This window comes from Homo sapiens, chromosome 1 (assembly GCF_000001405.40).
Source record: "Homo sapiens chromosome 1, GRCh38.p14 Primary Assembly".
In the NCBI taxonomy this organism is placed as follows: domain Eukaryota; kingdom Metazoa; phylum Chordata; class Mammalia; order Primates; family Hominidae; genus Homo; species Homo sapiens.
The window spans coordinates 121,166,738-121,184,642 of NC_000001.11; the positions used below are offsets into that span (position 1 = coordinate 121,166,738).

At 40.3% G+C, this 17,905-nt stretch overlaps 1 protein-coding gene across 2 annotated transcripts; it reads right to left on the minus strand.

Moving 5' to 3' along the window:
- Positions 1 to 908: 908 nt before the first annotated feature.
- On the minus strand, positions 909 to 17,603 carry FAM72B (family with sequence similarity 72 member B). 2 transcript variants are annotated; one of them, NM_001320149.2, is made up of 4 exons: positions 16,721 to 17,603; positions 14,534 to 14,611; positions 10,471 to 10,595; positions 909 to 2,098 (listed from the first exon to the last, which is right to left on the minus strand). In NM_001320149.2, the coding sequence occupies exons 1-4, from the start codon at positions 16,750 to 16,752 to the stop codon at positions 2,004 to 2,006; spliced, it is 330 nt and encodes a 109-aa protein (NP_001307078.1). In that variant the 5' UTR covers positions 16,753 to 17,603; the 3' UTR covers positions 909 to 2,003. The 2 variants fall into 2 exon arrangements, with proteins under 2 accessions (NP_001307078.1, NP_001094380.1); NM_001100910.2 differs by having other exon boundaries at positions 16,601 to 17,603.
- Between the last annotated feature and the right edge of the window lie 302 nt (positions 17,604 to 17,905).

A 17,905-nucleotide genomic window follows, 5' to 3' on the forward strand; every position in this document is an offset into this window, starting at 1 on the left:
TAGAATTGGCTTTCCCATAATCCAGTTAACCAAAGGTAGTTGAGTAATTTGAAATATTCCCCAGCTGGAGTAGAATCACATTTGGGGCTTGCTTCAATCAGTGCACCTCTGTCTTGCTTTTGCTTTTCAGAGAGACCCTAGGTCAACCATAGCCTTTGAAGGCATGAGCTGAACGGAAACCAGATGAACTCTATTGAATTTTAAATTTGCCACATTTCCTAGTCTAGTATTAAACTTTTCTTCTCTAGTTGAGCAAGTTAACCAAAGAAGTATATATATATTTTTTCTCTTATAGATTATGCTCACCTAAGAACTTGAGGTTACAACACACACACACACACACACACACACACACCCCCAAAAAACCAAATCGCAAAACAAATTATTCCATACTCATTCCATTGGTTCTTTTGATGGCCTTCTGTCAGTGTTAATGGTTGGTGTGAAAGATTTTTGGAAACGTTTTCCAGGAGGGAGTAATAGCATTTCCTGAAGCACCTTTTATCTTGGTTTATGGCAAATGATTCTTTCAATGCCCTCAGGTCACTTATACCCTAAGACCCTGCATGAGTTTATTCAACCTTCAAATCAGTCACTTCTGCCCTCATCTAGGGCACATAACAATGCAGTTAGTTACCCAGCAGGTATCCCGGCTAAGTAAGACCATAAATAAATCATATGAGCAGGAGCTTTTGGAGTCAGTCTTCTGTCTGAGCACCTCTAACCGGTTATGCTACCTTAAACAAATTACTTAACTTCTCTCTGTCTCACCTGATTTACCAGTTTTAAAAAAAAGGAATAATAATGGTACCTACCTCATAGGTTTGTTGTGAGGAGTTAAACATCTAAAGCACTTAGAACAGTGTCTGGCATATGGTAAGTATTCAATAAACATTAGCCTTATATTCTATACTTTAAGTACTATTTATTTATATTTTTACATACAATATGTGGGCATAACAAAAAATTAAAGGAAGAATGGTCATTTTTAGAAAAAACTTTATTTACAAAACCACAACTCAGTCTGCTTTGGTATTGACAAAATCCCTACAACTGAGATATTAAAGAGATACATTTATTTTAGAGTTACATAAAACCAGAATCCAACACTACCCTACTTTCCTATTCCTTTGTGGCTCTGAATGCAGCTTTAAAAAAACAAAACAAAGCAAAGCAAAGCAAAACAAAACAGCTCTTTATAATGTACAATGGCTTAAGCAAATCGCTTTAGTTTTTTTTCTATTTAAGATTTAGGACAGACTACTCGTCTAAAATTCACTATTTACAGAGAAGGTCCTAGGGAACAGGATAACTTATTTAGGTTTAGCTCTCATAATACAATATCCATAATGGCTTTAGAAGAATGTAAATAAATAACATTGGTAAACAGCGTATACTGATATTTTCTGACAAACTCATTTATCTAACATCATGCTGAGCAATCAAGAGGATTCCTCTATATATTTTAAATTTTAATTTATTCTATTTCCTGATTCACAAACTCTTGCTCCATGTTAAAGCAGTTATCACCAATAGAACCTATGAGAACCAGTGCCCATGGAAACCTAACAGCTTGTTTTTTTAATCCCCTATTAAAACTCAGTTGAACTTGATATATGCATGGTTGAAATATGCGTGGGTACTAGGCCTTTATTCAGGAATGTAAAATTAATGGTATCTGGTATCAAGTTGTAAGAAAAACTCCCCCAGATTGGGAGGTAACTGAGTGATATGTGAAAGAATCTTCCCGTCTGAATTTAAGAATACACCTACACTGGGCAGAAAAAGGTGGGGGAGAGGAAGTAGAAGTAGAGGAAAAGCACAACTCCACTGGCTTCAATCAAACTGAGGTAACTAATTAGAGACGGAAAATAAATAAATCAACAAATGCCCCATTTTTGTTTTCCAAAAAAGATCACTGGCAACTAACAATTTTAAAGTTGATCCATTAATATATTTTTAAATAGAAAAAAGTTTGTATATCATATATATCATAATTCCATTTATCTAATACACTCCTCTGCTGAGATATTTAACACATCTTCATCTGTACTCTCTTCTATCTCTGGCAAGTTGCCCCAAAGTAGGATGTTTACACCTGAAAATAAAAAATCATAAAATTCTTTAATGCTTACTACTGTTATAACTCAGAACACAAATTACGAAACTTTATATGTTAATATTCTTATGTAAACCATAGTGTTAGCAGTAAAAAGAGTAGCTATTGAAGAATGTACTGCAAATAAAATTACCTAATATTATCCATCTAGGACATAAATTTTATTTATTTATTTTGAGAGAAATTCTCTCTGTGTTGCCCAGGCTGGAGTGCCTGGCAGGATCACGGTTCACAATCACAGATCACTGCAGCCTGAACCTCCAGGGCTCAAGTGATCCTCCTACCTCAGCCTCCCAAGTCACTTGGACTACAGGCGTGTACTACCACACATGGCTAATTTTATTTTGTAGATACAGGTTCCCACTATGTTGCCCAGGCTAGTCTCAAACTCCTGGGCTCAAGCAATCCTCTCTCCTTGACCTCCCAAACTGTTGGGATTACAGGCATGAGCCACCATGCCTGGCAAACACTTTTTTTTAAAGGGCTAGGACATAAACATTCTTTAAATCCTTTTAAGCAAGGGCTTGAATTCTAGAATTTTACAGCTCAAAAGGCTCTCAGGAGTCCATTTACTCAAACTCTGCCTCCAGCTGCATTATAACATAATCACTATACACTGATAATTTTCTGATCTATTTTAATGATGTTTAAGAATGGAGATCTCACAAGATCCTTTTAGATTAAATGCCTCTTTGGAGGGTTCAGGGAGAAGTCCTGAATAAGCCTCCTCATCCCTTCAATAAGCAGAGAAGTAGCTGGTGCCATTTTTCTGATTCAGAAAAAAAGCAAGGGTTCGGAGACAGTTATAATATGAACTGCAATCCTTGGTACCAGTGGGTTTCAGTCCACAGGCAGAGCTTTAAACTGAACTTTAGGGCCAGGTTGCAGCAGTCACTATAATAAACAAAAGAATAATCAAAAACTTCACTGAGAAAGAATAGTCAGATTTCATATTGAAGAATGAAGCACAGGTATACAGTAAATGACTAAACATACAGTAGAGGATAATGACAAGTTTATTACTCTGGGCATATATTACATTATTAGTTAAAAACACTAAATGGAAAATAACTGACCTCTAGGATAGCCAATTAACTTCACAAGAAAAGCAAATCTTTTTTTTTTTCTTTTTGAGTCGGAGTCTCGCTCTATTGCCCAGGCTGGAGACGAGTGGTGTAATCTTGGCTCACTGCAACCTCTGCCTCCCAGGTTCAAGTGATTCTCATGCCTCAGCCTCCCGAGTAGCTGGGACTACAGGCAAATGCCACCATGCCTGGGTAATTTTTGTATTTTTAGTAGAGATGGGGTTTCACCACGTTGGTCAGGGTGGTCTTGAACTCCTGACCTCAGGTGATCCCCCTCGCCTCGGCCTCCCAAAGTGCTGGGATTACAGATGTGAGCCACCACACTTGGCCAGAAAAACAAATCTTAAGCTGTCCAGTTATCAGTGTGGACACAAAGAGGATCCAGCAATTCAGGATACCCACCCCATATACACTGAGATAGCAGCCACATGGCGGAATGGAATGAGCCAGGATTTGGAGATTTGGTTTGAATCCAGTGTTCACCACTGCTAGTACACCATGCATGGTTTTACTACAAATGCATGCAACATAGACAATATATATTACTGTTTAGTGGATTTAAATTTTGTATAGAATGTTATTACACTACATATTGTTTTCTAATTTGCTTTTTCACTCGTCATGTTTTTGAGGTTAATCCATGTTAACTTGTGTAGATTTCGCTCATTTATTTTTACTTCTGGAGAGTATTCCATTTTGTGAATTTTTAAAAATGTTGCAAATACAGCCCATTGCTCATCCCTTCCTCAGCTGCCCATCTTGCATAGGTGGTTCAAGGCGACATACACAGGGATGTGTAGTGTGACATTGTTGAAACAGTAGAAATAATTAACTGTTTACCTTGACTGAGGGAGATACTGGAATCTAATCTGGCAAGAATTTAGCATGTATCTGATGCTGGTAGGGATACAGATGTGTATCTTATTATTTTCTATAATCTTTTTGTGTTTGAATTGTTTATAATAGAAAACGCTACCCCATCCCCACCCCCACCCTAAGAATGAATGGTGTTCTGCTCCAGGTAAATGTCATGGAAGAGCTGACAGGAAGAGCTGTAAGGAATTGCGAGGCAAAAATCAAAGTGAAAATTAGAACCCATAAATGTAAATGGAGGGCTGAAGCCATTTTGACTCTGAGGGCATTTGCCAATTTCAGGAAATTTGAGCTGAGGTTTCCCAAGGCTCCTCCAGAAAGTTCTGGGAAATCAGGTCTCTAAATGAAGACTAGCCTAGAAAACAGACCTCCAGGAGTCCTTTTCAGTTTAAACATTATAGAATTTATAAAGCTTGTCTATGCATTCCTTTGACACTGCTGGTTCAGGTGATTCAAGGACAGTTGTGGCGCCATTAGAAACTTGCTTTGATACCAAGCATCTAGAAAATCTTGCTTGAAATCACAATATTAGGGTTACAAAGCAGAAGCTTGATATTCTTGGAGTCAGTACTCAGAGACATGAAGCAGCTCAGCACAATTGGTTCAAAGGAGGAAAAATAAACTAAGAGATTGGATCTGACAGAAGCAGCACCTTCCTTTCTCTGTTAAGAAGGGAGGAAGGAAATCCTGTGATACATCTGTTTCTTATGGATTAGATTCAGTGCAAATGGAAGAATGTGGGGCTTTTATCTTTGAAAAATTGACCAATATTAAAAAGTAAATCAAACTTGAAAAATCTCCACCCTGTGTTTTGAATTCTGTAAAGCAGGAAAAATACTATCAAAGCAGAAACTTCCTTTAATGTGTCCCATGGGCAACACAAATATAAAACTGGAGGCTTAAATTAGGAGACTGTATCCCACTTAGGGGAGTTCAGATAAGTCCTTACATGAAAATGGCCTTCTTAACATACCAAAGTTTTAAATTAAGACCCCATAAATGATAGATTGAGAGCCACAGTTGAGTCCCAGATAAAAAAATCAAATCTACAAAAATCTAAACATAATTGGAGGATTTAAAGACCCTTGACAACCTATCTTGCAATTCGTGATCTTTTGGTCTGTGAAGGCAAATCATATATTTAAAAAATACATTTAAGTTCTAAAGGAGACTAAAACATGCATTTAGGAACCTAAGAATGCTAGTGTCAACTTAGATTGTCAAGTTACTTAAAGTCGGCTGGCGAGGTGTCTCAGGCCTGTAATCCCAGCCCTTTGGAGGCCAAGGTGGGCAGATCACTTGAGGACAGGAGTTCGAGACCAGCCTGGGCAAAATGGCAAAAACTGGTCTCTACGAAAAATACAAAAAATTAGACAGGGATGGTGGCACACACCTGTGGTCCCACCTATTGAGAAGGCTGAGGTGGAAGAATGGCTTGAGCCTGGGAGGTCGAGGCTGCAGTGAGCCAAGATTGTGCCACTACACTCCAGCCTGGGTGACAGAGCAAGACCCTGTCTCCAAAAAAAAAAAAAAAGTTCCTTAAAATCAACTTGGTCTGTTGTGTAAATAGATGTTAGACATGGAGAACATGTGTCTTATAACAAAACTCAATGGCTCCAGGCAATATAAAAAGTATTATATAAATCCCCTTTAAAAATTGGTACTTTGGCCGGTGCAGTGGCTCACACCTGTAATCCCAGCACTTTGGGAGGCTGAGGTGGGCAGATCACCTGAGGTCAGGAGGTCGAGACCAGCCTGGGCAACATGGCAAAACCCCGTCCCTACTAAAAATACAAAAATTAGCCAGGTGTAGTGGTGCACACCTATAATCCCAGCCACTCAGAAGGCTGAGGCAGGAGAATCACTTGAACCCGGGAGGTGGAGGTTGCGGTGAGCCGAGATCACGCCACTGCTCTCCAGCCTGGGTGACAGAATGACTCCATCTCAAAAAAAAAAAAAAAAAAAAAAGGTACTTCAGGCCAGGCATGGTGACTCACGTCTGTAATCCCATGTAATCCCAGCACTTTGGGAGGCTGAGGCAGGCGGATCCCCTGAGGTCAGGTGTTCAAGACCAGCCTGACCAACATGGTGAAACCCTGTCTCTACTAAAAATACAAAAAAATTAGCTGGGCGTATGCCTGTAATCTCGCTACTCGGGAGGCTGAGGCACGAGAATCGCTTGAACCCGGGAGGCAGAGGCTGCCATGAGCCAAGATGACACCATTGCACATCAGCCTGGGAAACAAGAGTGAAACTCTGTCTCAAAAAAAAAAAAAAAGAATTAGTATTTCAGTGCCTCAGCACCTTAACACAAGGAAAAAGAAATTTTTTTTTTAAAAGAATTGGTAGTGTACTTTCTTACTAAAATAATTTTTTTTTTTTTTTTTTGAGACAGGGTCTCACTCTGTTGCCCAGGCTGGAGTGCAGCGGTGCCACCTCGGCTTACTGCAACCTCCACCTCCTAGGTTCAAGGGGGGTTTCATCATATTGGCCAGGCTGGTCTCGAACCCCTGACCTCAAGTGATCATCTGTCTTGGCCTCCCAAAGTGTGGGATTACAGGTGTGAGCCACCATGCCTGGCCTTGCTAAAATAATTAGTATAGGCATACCTCAATTGTGCTTTAGTTTATTGTACACCATAGATACTGGGCTTTATATAAATGGAAGGTTTTGGCAATCCTGCATTGAGTAAGTCTAACAGCATATGCTTACCTTGTGTCTGTTACATTTTGATAATTCTCTCAATATTTCAACCTTTTTCATTATTATTATATATATTATGGTGATCTGTGATCTTTGATGTTACTGTTATAATTGTTTCAGGGTGCTATGAACCACACCCACTTAAGACCACACCCACTTAAGACTGCAAACTTAATCGATAAATATTTTGTGTGTTCTGACTGCTCCACTGACCAGCTGTTCTCTCTCTCTTTCCTGGGGCCTCCCTATTTCCTAAGATACAACAATATTGAAATTGGGCCAGTTAATATCCCTACAATGACCTCTAAGTGTTCAAGTGAAAGAGAGTGGCATGTCTCTCACTGTAAATCAAAAGCTAGAAATGATTAAGCATAGTGAGGAAGACATATTGAAAGCTGAGACAGGCTGAAAGTTGGGCCTTTTATGCCCAATTGTTAGCCAACTTGTGACTGCAAAGAAAAGTTCTTAAAGGACATAAGAAGTGCTACTCCAGTGAAAACAAGAATAAAAAAGTGAAATAGCCTTATTGCTGATATGGAGAAAGTTTTAGTGACCTAGATAGAGGATTAAACCAGCCATGATATTCTCTTAAGCGAAAACCTAATCCAGAGCTAGGTCTTAACTCTCTGCAATTCTATGAAGGGCAAGAAAGTTGAGGAAACTGTAGAAGAAAGTTTGAAGCTAGCAGAGGTTGGTTTATAAAGTTTAAGGAAAGAAGCCATTTCTATAACATACAAGTTCAGGTGAAGCAAAAAGTGCAGATGTAGAAGCTGCAGCAAGTTATCCAGAAAATCTAGCTAAGATTATGGATGAAGGTGGCTACACTAAACAACAGATTTTTCTTTTCTTTTCTTTTTTTTTTTTTTTGAGATGGAGTTTCACTTTTGTTGCCCAGGCTGGAGTGCAATGGCGTGATCTTGGCTCACCGCAACCTCCGCCTCCCGGGTTCAAGCCATTCTCCTGCCTTAGCCTCCCAAGTAGCTGGGATTATAGGCATGCGCCACCATGCCCAGCTAATTTTGTATTTTTAGTAGAGACGGGGTTTCTCCATGTTGGTCAGGCTGGTCTCGAACTCCCAACCTCAGGTGATCTGCCCGCCTTGGCCTCCCAAACTGCTGGGATTACAGGTGTGAGCCACCGCGCCCGGCCTCTTATTCCTTTTTTTTTTTTCAGATGGAGTTTCACTCTTGGTGCAATGGTGCGATCTCGGCTCACTTCAAACTCCACCTCCTGGGTTCAAGTGATTCTTCTGCCTCAGTCCCCCAAGTAGCTGGGCATGTACCACCATGCCCAGCTAATTTTTTATTTTTAGTAGAGGCAGAGTTCTACTATATTGGTCAGGCTGGTCTTAAACTCTTGACCTCAGGTGATCCATCCACCTCGGCCTCCCAAAGTCCTGGGATTATAGGCGTGAACCACTGCATCTGGCAGAGATTTTTAATATACACAAAACAGCCTTCTATTGGAAGGAGATGCCATCTAGGACTTTCATAGCTAGAGAGGAGAAGTAATACTTGGCTTCAAAGCTTCAAAGGACAGGCTGAATCTCTTGTTAGAGGATAATGCAGCTGGTGACTTTAAGTTGAATCCAATGCTCATTTACTGTTCTGAAATTTCTAGGGTTCTTAGGAATTATGCCAAATATACTTTGCCTGTGCGCTGTCAATGAAACAACAAAGCCTGGACGACAGCAAATCTGTTTACAGCATGTTTTACTAACTATTTTAAGCCCATTGTTAAGACCTACTGCTCAGAAAAATCCCTTTGAAAACATTACTGTTCATTGACAATGCACCTAGTCACTCAAGAGCTCTGATGGCATTGTACAAGGAGATAAATATTGCTTTAATGCCTTAACATAACATCTATTTGGCAGCCCATGGATCAAGAAGTAATTTAATCTTTCAAGTCTTATTATTTAAGAGATAGATTTCATAAGGCTATAGCTGCCATAGATAGTAATTCTTCTGATGGATCTGGGCAAAGTACATTGAAAACCTGGAAAAGCACATTCCTGATTCATGGGAGGAGGTCAAAATATCAGTCTTAACAGGAGTTTGAAAGAAGTTGATTCCAACCCTCATGGGTAACTTTGAGAGGTTTTAGACTTCAGTGGAGGAAGTAACTGCAGATGTGGTAGAAATAGCAAGAAAACTACACTTAGAAATGGAGCCTGAAGACGTGACTGCATTGCTGCAATCTCATGATGAAACTTTAATGGATGAAGAGTTGCTTTTTATGGATGAGCAAAGAAAATGGTTTCTTGAGGTGAAATCTACTCTTGATGAAGATGCTGTAAATATTGTTGAAATGAAAACAAAGGATTTAGAATATTACATAAACATAGTTGGTAAAGTAGTAGCAGAATTTGAGAGGATTGACTCCAATTTTGAAAGAGGTTCTACTATGTGTAAAATTCTATCAAATGGCATCACATGCTACAGAGAAATCTTTTGTGAAAGGAAGAGTCAATCCATGCGGCAAACCTCATTGTTGTCTTATTTTAAGAAACTGCCACAGCCATCCTAACCTCCAGCAACCACCACCCTGATCAGTTTGCAGTCATCAACATCAAGGCAAGACCCTCCACCAGCAAAAAGATTATGACTTGCTGAAGGTTCAGATGATCATTAGCAGTTTTTAGCAATAAAGCATTTTTTTTTCTTTTTTGAGACAGGGTCTCATATTGTTGCCCAGGCTGAAATGCACTGGCATGATCACAGCTCACTTCAGCCTCTACCTCCCAAATTCAAGTGATCCTCCCACCTCAGCCTCCTGGGTAGCTGGGACGATAGTATGCCCCACGATGCCTGGATAATTTTTGTATTTTTTTTTGTAGAGATGAGGTCTCAGCATGCTGCCCAGGCTGGTCTCAAACTCCTGGGCTCAAGTGATCCTCCCGCCTTGGACTACCAAAGTGCTGGGATTACAGGCATGAGCCACTGCTCTCGGCCGAATAAGTATTTTTTGATTAAGGTATGCACATTGTTTTTTAAATGTCCTGCTATTGCACACTTAATAGACTACAATATATTGTAAACATAACTTTTATACACACTGGGAAACCAAAAAATTGTGTGACTTGCTTTAATTGTGATATTTGCTTGCTTTATTATGGTGGTCTGGAATTGAACCTACAATATCTCCACTTGTGCCTGTACAACATACTTTATACTTTGGTGTCAAATATTTCCCTTGACTAAAATTCTGTCATAACGTATTAACATAGATGTCGAAATGTCTGTTTTTATTCTGAAGCATCACTAAATACAGAGGTTACTTAGTCCTCCTCCTCTCAACTCCCATTGCCCTAGGCTTGGCCTCTCCCTTTCTTACACACACACACAGACACACACATGCATTAGACTATCAAATCTAAAATCTTCAAAAATTCTCTGGAGTCAGAATATGTATCAAGGCAGCAGTTAAGAGCAATTATAATATTCATTTTAAAAGACCAAGAAATTCAGCCAAGTTTGAGGCCTTAAGTACAAGGATGAACATAGAAATGACAATGAATTTTGCCTAATAGTTTTCATAAGTGAATGTCTGGGAAAAAAGAATTGAAGTTTCACTCTAGCTAATCCAGCTAAGAAGATCTAAAAGGAATCCTGAAATGATCTATTGGGAATTTTACTCAGGTATTGATAGAGAAATGTTACAGGAATGTCCAAGTCAATTGTTTCTTACCTGTGGAGTCTAGTCTGTTAATATCATAAACTGCCTGGCTGTGAAACATCCAGAAGTGTCCGTTGTTGCAGGAAGGAAGACAGGAACTACATGGAACAATCACATGATAACCTACAATGTTCCCACTAGAAAAGAAAGTAAATGTTACTAGATACCATGTAATAACTAGCCAGATAAGTCTTTTCATATTGCTTATATAAATAGACCATATAATTTAGATCTCATTTCCTAACAACTTTCATTGCTGAGATCTTTGGGATGGGATGGGGGTGCAGTTCTACCATCAAGTGGGAAAGCAGTCTTTAAGTGAATAATAGTAAAATATTCTCACATTTCTTTGCTATTATTATTATTATTATTATTATTATTATTATTATTGAGACTGAGTTTTGCTCTTGTCACCCAGGCTGGAGTGCCTGCAACCTCCGCCTCCCAGGTTCAAGTGATTCTCCTGCCTCAGCCTCCAGAATAGCTGGGATTACAGGCGTGTGCCACCATGCCCAGCTAACTTTTGTGTTATTAGTAGAGATGCGGTTTTACCATGTTGGCCAGGCTGGTCTCGAACTCCTGACCTCAGGTGATCCACCTGCCTTGGCCTCCCAAAGTGCTGGGATTACAGGCATGAGCCACCATGCTTGTCCTGCTAGTATTATTTTATGCATTCTCCCTTCAGAAGTTAGCTTCTAGATGCCATAATGTTGTGATTTGTTTTATAAACCACCCAAATTGATGTGCTGTACAGACAAAATAAATTAAATTAACTCAGTTCTGTGGGTAAAGGTTTTTGCTATCCCAGGACTGTGGCAAGTTGGGTTCTTACATGTTCTAGTTTCATGCCAGCACCTAAAAACTGTTTCAACAGATGGAGAGGTAGGAAGACAGCATGAGTCCCTGTAAACCAAATACAATCTGGCTGCTCTAATTTTAGTCTCAGTGTTTTTGAAGGAACTCAGAAATAAAGCAATCTACAGCCTCCAGAGAAAGTTGCAAAAGTTTTTACAGTTTTCAGAATTATCCAGCTGATTATAAGTACCTCAGTCTTTCACAATTTTTTTTTTTTTTTAACTAGCTAGTCACATATTAAATAGAGTGAACCTACAGGGAATGTTTTAGCTAGTACTTTAAAAAAAATAGCAACATGAACTGTTTATACCTTGAGTTGTAAAAATTCTTATTCAAGCTTAGTCTTACTCTGTGAGATTTGTGAGTCAGTCATTTTTATGAGACCCAATAAAGATTACTGTAAAAGGTACCATTCCACCTAAAATATGTCTTCTAATTATAACTTGCTTGAAAGGCAAACAAATGAAAACAAAAGTTGTGTTTGGACTAGGAGTGCCAGTTATTTGTAAGACTATATTGCAAAAGTAAATTCCATGACTTTAATTACCGCCTATATTCATTCATTCATCCATTGATTCATCACTTAAACTAACATTTATTGAGTATCTGCTATCTTTCAGGCACTGCTCTAGGTGCTAGGAATACACTGGTAAACAAAACAAAGCCCTTGTTCTCACAGAGCTAACAGTCTAGCGAGGCTACATCAGATCATTCTGCTCCCTGGTTAAAACCTCTTCAATAGCCAAAAATGAAAATAAAAACCTTTCCATACCAAGGTCCAGATCTATGCTGTCAAGAATAATAGCCACTAGCCACATGTGGCTGTTGTACACTTGCAGTGGGGCTGGCCTGAATTGAGATGTGCTGTTAAGTGTAAAATGTACACCAGATTTCAAAGAGTAAGACCAAAAAATGGAATATAAAATATTACATTAGTAGTTTATGTTGGTTACATGTTGAAATAATATTTTGGATACATTGGGTTAGACAAAATATATGATTAAAATTAACTTTCCTGTTTTGGTTTTCTTTTGAAAATGTTGTTCTTCGGGTGCGGTGGCTCATGCCTGTAATCCCAGCACTTTGGGAGGCTGAGGCGGGTGGATCACTTGAGGTCAGGAGTTCGAGACCAGCCTGGCCAACATGGCGAAACCCCACCTCTACTAAAAATACGAAAATTAACTGGGCATGGTGGCACGTGCCTGTAGTCCCAGCTACTCGGGAGGCAGAGGTGAGAGAATCACTTGAACCCAGAAGACGGAGGTTGCAGTGAGCCAAGATCATGCCATTGCACTCCAGCCTGGGCAACAGAGCAAGACTCCGTCTCAAAACAAAACAAAAAAAATGTCGTTGCCCAGGTGCGGTGGCTCACACCTGTAATCTCACACTTTGGGAGGCCGAGGCAGGTGGATCACTTGAGGTCAGGAGTTTGAGACCAGCCTGGCTAACATGGCGAAATCCCGTCTCTACTAAAAATACAAAAATTAGCCGTGTGGGCTGGGTGCGGTGGCTCACGCCTGTAATCCTAGCACTTAGGGAGGCCAAGGCAGGTGGTCTGCCTGAGCTCAGGAGTTTGAGAGCAGCCTGGGCAACACGGTGAAACCCTGTCTCTACTAAAATATGAAAAATTAGCTGGGCATGGTGGTGCGTGCCTGTAGTCTCAGCTACTCAGGAGGCTGAGGCAGGAGATTCGCTTGAACCTGGGAGGCGGAGGTTGCAGTAAGCTGAGATCGTGCCACTGCACTCTAGCCTGGGCGACAGAGCAAAACTCCGTCTTAAAAAAAAAAAAAAAAAGAAGAAAGAAGAAAATAATGTCCAAAGGCCAGTGACTTCATCTAGTTTTTGTTGTATTTCCAGCCCTTGTAACAATGACTACCACATACTAGTTCCTCAATACAAGTATAGCTTAAATAAAGGAATGAAATCAAATAGCACATAAGAAGAGCTTGCCAATTTAAATTATTAGGATTGTCATTTATAATACAAACCCCTTCTAAATACAAACCCCATCTAAATGAGAAAATTTCAACTTTTATCCTCCTAAAATGAAAATAATAACACGTCTACTTCTCAAAAGATTATAGTAATAGCTCTCAGCTGTTGTAATTTATAGTTTATTGAGCACTTTAACATTCATATTTGCTCTTTATAATAACTTGATAAGGTAAACACAGAAGATTATTAAATTTCTATCTTAATAAGACAGAATGGCTGGGTGGGGTGGCTCATGCCTGTAATCCCAGCACTTTGGCAGGCCGAGGCAGGCGGATCACCTGAGGTTGGGAGTTCAAGAGCAGCCTGACCAACATGGAGAAATCCTGTCTCTACTAAAAAAAAAAAAAAAAAAAATTAGCTGGGCATGGTGGTGCGTGCATGTAATCCCAGCTACTCAGGAGGCTGAGGCAGGAGAATCACTTGAACCTGGGAGGTGGAGGTTGTGGTGAGCTTAGATCGCGCCATTGCACTCCAGCCTTGGCAACAAGAGCAAAAACTCCTTCTCAAAAAAAGAAAGAAAGAAAGAAATTAAGGTAGGATGCAGTGGCTCATACCTGTAATCCCAGCCTTTTGGGAAGCTGAGGAGAGAGGATCACTTGAGGCCAGGAGTTTGAGATCAGCCTGGGCAACAGAGCAAGACCCTATTGCTACAAAAATAAAAAACTTAGCCAGGCCTGGTGGTGCCTGCCTGTAGTCCCAGCTACTCAGGAGGCTGAGGTAGGAGAATCACTTGAGCCCAGGAGTTCAAGGCTACAGTGAGCTATGATCATGCCACTGCACTCCAGCCTGAGCAACAGTATGAGACCCCTCTAAAAACAAAGAAAGGAGTAATAACCTAGAAATTAAATAAGAAAACAGAGGTTCAGCAGTTTAGAGGCTAAAGGAGTTCACTCAAGATCACATAGAGAGTAAGGGTAGGGTCAGACCTCAAACATGGTTTTTATTATTGTAAATCCAGGTGTTTCTCCCCCCTAACCTACATTGCCTTGTTCTGAAAATTGAAGCGGATACTGTGAATACACTTTGAAAACTGTAAAATTATATACTAATGTGAAGCATCAGAAAACCCTTTTAAAAAATAGCTCTAAGTAATAAGTAATTTTTCAATGGCTCATTGCATGCTTTATACCAGTCCTTGTTGCAGCCCACTGAACCTTTCTCTATGCTTTGGTGTCAATATCCATCTTCCAAACCCAGAGCTATCCAGAATAGTGCCACAAATTACCATTTTAAACATGCGATGTCCTTCAGTTTACATTTGCAGATTTTGGTGAAATAGCATCTTCCAGTGAAGTCCACTGCGCTGGAGAGAGAAAGGTATAAAAAGACAGTCAGATGTACTTTACAAAAAATTTAATTGTGGCAAAAAATTAACAAAATTTACCAACTTAACAAGTTTTATGTGTGCAGAGCAGATGTGTTAAATATAATCACATTGCTGTGTAATGAATCTCCTGGGTTTAAGTGACCCTCCTACCAGAGTTTCCTGAGTAGGTGGAACTATAGGCGCCCTATACCACATTTTGTTTATCTGTTCATCTGTAGAATCAATGGACATTTGGATTGCTTCCACCTCTTGGCTATTGTGAATAATGCTGTTAATGAACATGGGTGTGCAAATATCTCTTCCAAGATCCAGTTTTGAATTCTTTTGGATATGTACCCAGAACTGCTGGATCAGATAGTAATTCTACGCTTGATTTAGCACAAATTTTGTCAATCCAAAGAGCTGAAAGCTAACATAGAACTATAGTATATTTTTAAAGAGTCAGTTCATATTTGTGAGCTCAACATAAACATCTGACAAATTTTCCATTAAAAAAATTTTTATGTGTTCATTGATTCACATACATCTTAGCACGCTAATTCATTATTATTTTAACCCCTACAAAGAAGGGTAGAAAATAGGAAAAACATGATTCTATTCTAGACTTGGGTCTAACCTGTAACAATTCACCTAGCCTTCCTTATGACTGCCCTATTACTTACCATAGCTATTGCAAAGATGAATGGGTTAATATTTTAGATTTGTGTATGAGCTACTAAAAAGAAAAAGCAGTGGACAATGAATCACAGAACTTTGTAACAGTAGGTTCTATGATTTATTTTCTAGTGTTTTCCCTTTTTTGAAATACATATACGATGTACACACACACAAATGTAAAATATTAACTTAGAATTTAAAAAAATTAAAAAGATTTTAAAATAACACATTTATCTCTGCAATAAATGAGAGCCTTTGGCTTTGCTGTTAGACATGATTACACTTAGACCAATTCAGAAAAGATTTCAAGAAAGGAAGAGTACACAGCTTTACCTGGGTAAATCAAAAAACTTGTAAAGTTTCTATCATTATCATGAAATTCATTTAAAATGAATTGTGGTTATTAACCTGCTTCCTCTGGCTCTATATCCAAAGACTTAGAGAATAACTGTCCACTCATATTTTGGATAATTACTTTCCTTTTAATAATAAAATTTCAATAAATAACTAAATTTTGAAGATTCATGTAGGGCATATATATGTTGATTATGGAAAGGGAAAGTACCATTTAGAGCTAGAAAGAGGTTTATTTGAGTAAAATAAAATGGCTATTTTACCAAATAGGAAGCAAATTCTTAAGGACTCTACACCCAAAAGCAGTTAGTGGCTGAAAACAAACAGATTTTAAAAGGGTTCAATTATGGGAACAAATGTGTAATGTCCAAAATAGTCTTTATTGGAGATAAGGATTAAGGCTAAGTCTCTATTTTTCATCCCATAAAAATCTATTTACATCTCTTTCAGAGAGAGAGAGTTTTGAGGAAAGAAAACTGAATTTGATGAACAACGGATCTGATTTAGGATGCCAATTGCAAATAATGATAGAAAACGGATTTTTTTTTTTTTGGTGCAAAATTTCATGGATAAAAATGAAAAACTTAAATGACCTCTCCTCTCCAACAGTACAGAAAATTTTGCCTGAATTTACCTAAAGTCTACGCCACGGACTTGATTCAGTGAAATAGGATGGTTGGGCAGGGCACTGAACCAGGGATCAAACTTAAGAGATGTGTGGTCGCATGACTGCAATTGAACTAGAAGCATTACATCAGGACTGACCACCTTGGCTAAACCACAGACTTTGTCCAGACAGTCTGCCCACTTAGATATATTCCAAGGGGATCATCAAACTGGTGGGAGTGGCTGAAACACCGAAATGATAACCTCCTTGTTGACTCCCACAGATCCAAGCCATAAGTGTTCCCATTTAGTTAAAAGCTACCGTTGCCCGCCACTAGCATGACTTACTTGGTAGGAGGGATGTCTGTAGAGAAAAGGTCTATTTCAGTATCAGCCAGCAAAACAGCCTTCATTCCCCTAGAGCTGAGCACTTGTTTACAGAATTTGCAACACAGGATGGACACGCACCTGTCCTTGAAACTACAAATGTTGGTAGACATGGCGTCGCAGGAAGGATGAGGTGTGGGATTTTGAAAAAGGAAACAAGAGTAATGCTCCTACTATTTTGATTCCCCTAGGCTAAAATTCAAGTTGCGGGACCTAGAGCTTTTCTAAGTCCTAATATTGGGAAGGAAATTAGTTTTTTTTTTCTGTTTTCCCGGTGGCGGAGTAGAAGAAGTATTTATTGAGTAGGAACAGGGGAGCGTGGCAAACTTGGCTTTCCTTTTAACTTTTGGAGAAGGGAGTGGAGTTTGAATTGGAGAGGAGGCAGGTGGAGTTTGAAGGGAACTTCTCAACGGCTTTCCCTTTCTGCTGTCTAAAGGAGTCCTCTACACTTCAGCTCCCGCCCCTTCATAGCAATTCCCTCAGCCTTCTCCGATCGTCTAATTTAAAGCTTCTCCTCTTTTAAGACATCCCTTCCCCAGCATTAAGCCCCTCCCCCGGAGCGCTCCGGTTCCCTGCTGTCGGATCTCGGGCTAAGCATCCCTACCCACGCCTCCTCTTCCCAGGATTCAGAAACTCCCTTCTCTTTTTCTGCCAGGCGATCCCGGATTCTCCTCCGTCCCGCCCCTTTTCTCCCGGACCTTCCTCCGCTCTGCGGGTCCGCGGGCCCCTCTCCTGGCAACCCCCGGCCCTCAGCGTGCTTGCGCTGTTTCTCTCGCGTCCTCCCTTCCCTCAGCTGTCCCTCGTGCCCCCCGCAGTCCCCTCAGGTTTCTTCCCGGAGCGGCTGTTCCCGGGCGCGCGGTGGTGTTGGTGGGGCAGAGCTGAAGTCGCTTTAGAGGCTCAGTCGGCGCTGGGGTCTGTCACCGAACACGTTGGTTTTCGCTCCCTCTTCCGCTTTTCCTGCCTCTCCAACCCGGTATCAGTTTGAATTGCCAGCGCCGCGCACCGATTGGAAGAACTAGAGTTAGCCCCAGTCCCTCATTGGAAGGCTCCGGGGCCTCCCCTCACGAGAGCTTAGTGGCTTGAAGACCGTAGGCACCGCCCCAGTAACGGTGCTGAGATCAATTCGGCTTTCTGGTCGGCTGAGCTTGGCTCCGCCTCCGATCTCATTGGCCGGCTTCGGGAGGTTTCGGCAAACCCTGCCTTAGCCCTAGTGAAAGTGGCAAGACACGCCCTTCCCGCTTCTTATTGGAAGAGGGACTACAGTCT

What these genes read in the sequence shown, in the direction of transcription:
- FAM72B (NM_001100910.2), bottom strand. Translation starts at nt 16,752, where the DNA reads ATGTCTACCAACATTTGTAGTTTCAAGGACAGGTGCGTGTCCATCCTG. An exon ending in GACATCGCATGTTTAAAATG is followed by an intron (nt 10,596 to 14,533) that starts GTAATTTGTGGC and finishes TTTCTTTTCTAG; the next exon opens with TGGGAACATTGTAGGTTATC. An exon ending in TAACAGACTAGACTCCACAG is followed by an intron (nt 2,099 to 10,470) that starts GTAAGAAACAAT and finishes TTTTATTTTCAG; the next exon opens with GTGTAAACATCCTACTTTGG.